Below are 2613 nucleotides of genomic sequence, written 5' to 3'. Positions count from 1 at the left end.
TTCTCTGGTACCTCCCTGATTAGCTTAATAACTAACCTCCTGAATTCTTTTTAAGGTAAATCAGGGATTTCTTCTTGGTTTGGGTCCATTGCTGTGAGCTAGTGTAATTTTTGGGGGGTGTTAAAGAATCTTGTTTTGTCATATTACCAGAGTTGGTTTTCTGGTTCCTTCTTACTTGGGTAGGCTCTGTCAGAGGGAAGGTCCAGGGCTGAAGGCTGTTGTTCAGATTCCTTTGTCCCGTGGGAGTGTTCCCTTGATGTAGTACTCTCCCCTTTTTCCTATGGATGTGCCTTCCTAAGAGCCAAGCTATAGTGATTGTTATCTCTCTTCTGGATCTAGCCACCCAGCAAGTCTACCCGGCTCCAGGCTGGTACTGAGGGTTATCTGCACAGAGTCCTATGATGTGAACCATCTGTGGGTCTCTCAGCCATGGATACCAGCACCTGTAACGGTGGAGGTGGCAGGGGGGTGAAATGGACTCTGTGAGGGTTCTTAGCTTTGGTGGTTTAATGCACTATTTTTGTGCTGGTTGGCCCTCTGCCAGGAGGTGGCACTTTCCAGAGAGCATCAGAGGTGGCAATATGGGGAGGAACAGGCAGTGGGTGGGGCCCTAGAACTCCCCAGAGTATATATGCCCTTTGTCTTCAGCTACCAGGGTGGGTAGGGAAGGACCACTGGGTGGGGGCAGAACTAGGCATGTCTGAGCTCACACTCTCCTTGGGCGAGTCTTGCTTTGGCTGCTGTGGGAGATGGGATGAGGTTCCCAGGTCAATGGAGTTATGTTCCTAGGATGATTATGACTGTCTTTACTGTGTCAGGCAGGCTGTCATGGAAGTGGGGGAAAGCTGGCAGTCACAGGCCTCACCCAGCTCCCATGCAACTTGAAGGGCCAGTCTCACTCCCACTGTGCACCTCCTAACAGCACCAAGTCTGTTTCCAGGGAGTGGGCAAGCAGGGCTGAGAACTTGCCCCAGGCTACCGGCCTCCCAGCTGCAAAAGCAAATAGGCTTTCCTTCTTCCCCTGCCTGTGGAGTCTGCACACCAGATTCACGCCCTCCCCCCAGGTTCTGGCCAGAAGGCTTCTCCATCAGTTCAAATTGTTACAAAGTTCAGCTGGAGATTTTCTTCTCCCTGTGGCCTTTTCCCAGCACTTCTGGCCACCATCCCGAAGCACTCCTGTGAGGCCAGGCAAAAACCCTAGGGGACCCATCAAGCTCCCAGGACTCTTCTCGCTGCTTCCTCTACCCTGTATTTTGCTCGGCTCTCTAAATTAACTCAGCTTCAGGTAAGGTCAAAATCTTCTCTTGTAATCTAGGCCTTCAGTTTCCCCAGTCGGGGGTGTGTGTTTGGGGGTGGACGATCTCCCTTCCCCACGTCCACAGTTTGGGCCCTCACAGTATTTAGGGTGTCTCCTGGGGCCTGCAGAAGCAATCCACTTCCTTCAGGGGGTCTGTGGGTCCTCTCAGGTTTCCTGATTTATTCCTGCAGTTGTACTGGAGCAGAAATTCGCAATGCAAGCCTCTGCGTGCTGCTCTGTCTGTCCAAGTTGGAGCTGCAATCTAGTCCTGCCTGCCATCCACCATGATCTGACCATAATTATATTTTATTGTTGTATTTTTTGCATTTTTTTGATCCACAATTGGTCAAATCCACAAATGCAGAATCCTCAGATACAAAGGGCTGACCATATGTTTACTGATTTCTTTGTTCATCATTTCTTCTTGCATTTTAATTCTTCCTTCTGCTTTCAATTTTATTCTTCCTGAAGTATATCCTCTTTCAGCAAATGTGTTAGTGTTTCTCAGACTTTGTTCTGAAAATGTTTTTATTTTGCACTCACTTTTTTTTTTTTTTTTTTTTTGAGATGGAGTCTCACTCTGTCACCCAGGCTGGAGTGCAGTGGAGCGATCTCAGCCCACTGCAACCTCCACCTTCTGGGTTCAAGCAATTTTCCAGCCTCAGCCTCCCAAGTAGCTGGGATTACAGGTGCATGCCACCATGCCCTGCTAATTTTTGTGTTTTTAGTAGAGACAGGGCATCACCATGTTGGCCAGGCTGGTCTCAAACTCCTGGCCTCAAGTGATCCACCTGCCTCAGCCTCCCAAAATGCTGGGATTACAGGCATGAGCCACTGCACCTGGCCTGCACTCACTCTTAAGTGATAGTTTAGCGAGGTATAAAAAAAATTTTTTTTTTACTAGGATTCTGAGCATTTTGATACATGATTTTCAGGCTTCTATTATGACTATTCAGAAATCTGATGATAGTCTAATTGTTCTCCCCTTGTAGAGTGCCCTGGTTCCTTTTAAGACTTCCTTTTGGTCTCTGAGGTTCTGCATTTTGACCATAATGTGTCTGGTTATTATTTCATTTGATTTATTCTGCCTGTGACCCCTGTGATTTCTGAATCTATGATTCATGTCTCTCATCAACTCTGGAAAATTATCAACCATTTCCTCTAAAATATTGTCTTTGCCTCATTGTTTTTATTTTTCTTTCTGGAACTTCTGTTAGATACATAGCGAACCTTTTTAGTCCATCCTTCATGTCTCTTAACATCTTTTTTACATTTTATATATTTTCAAACCTTTGCAATGAATTATGGACAATTTC

Source organism: Homo sapiens, chromosome 8 (genome assembly GCF_000001405.40).
Source record: "Homo sapiens chromosome 8, GRCh38.p14 Primary Assembly".
NCBI classification, from domain to species: domain Eukaryota; kingdom Metazoa; phylum Chordata; class Mammalia; order Primates; family Hominidae; genus Homo; species Homo sapiens.
This window is presented reverse-complemented; position numbering follows the sequence as displayed.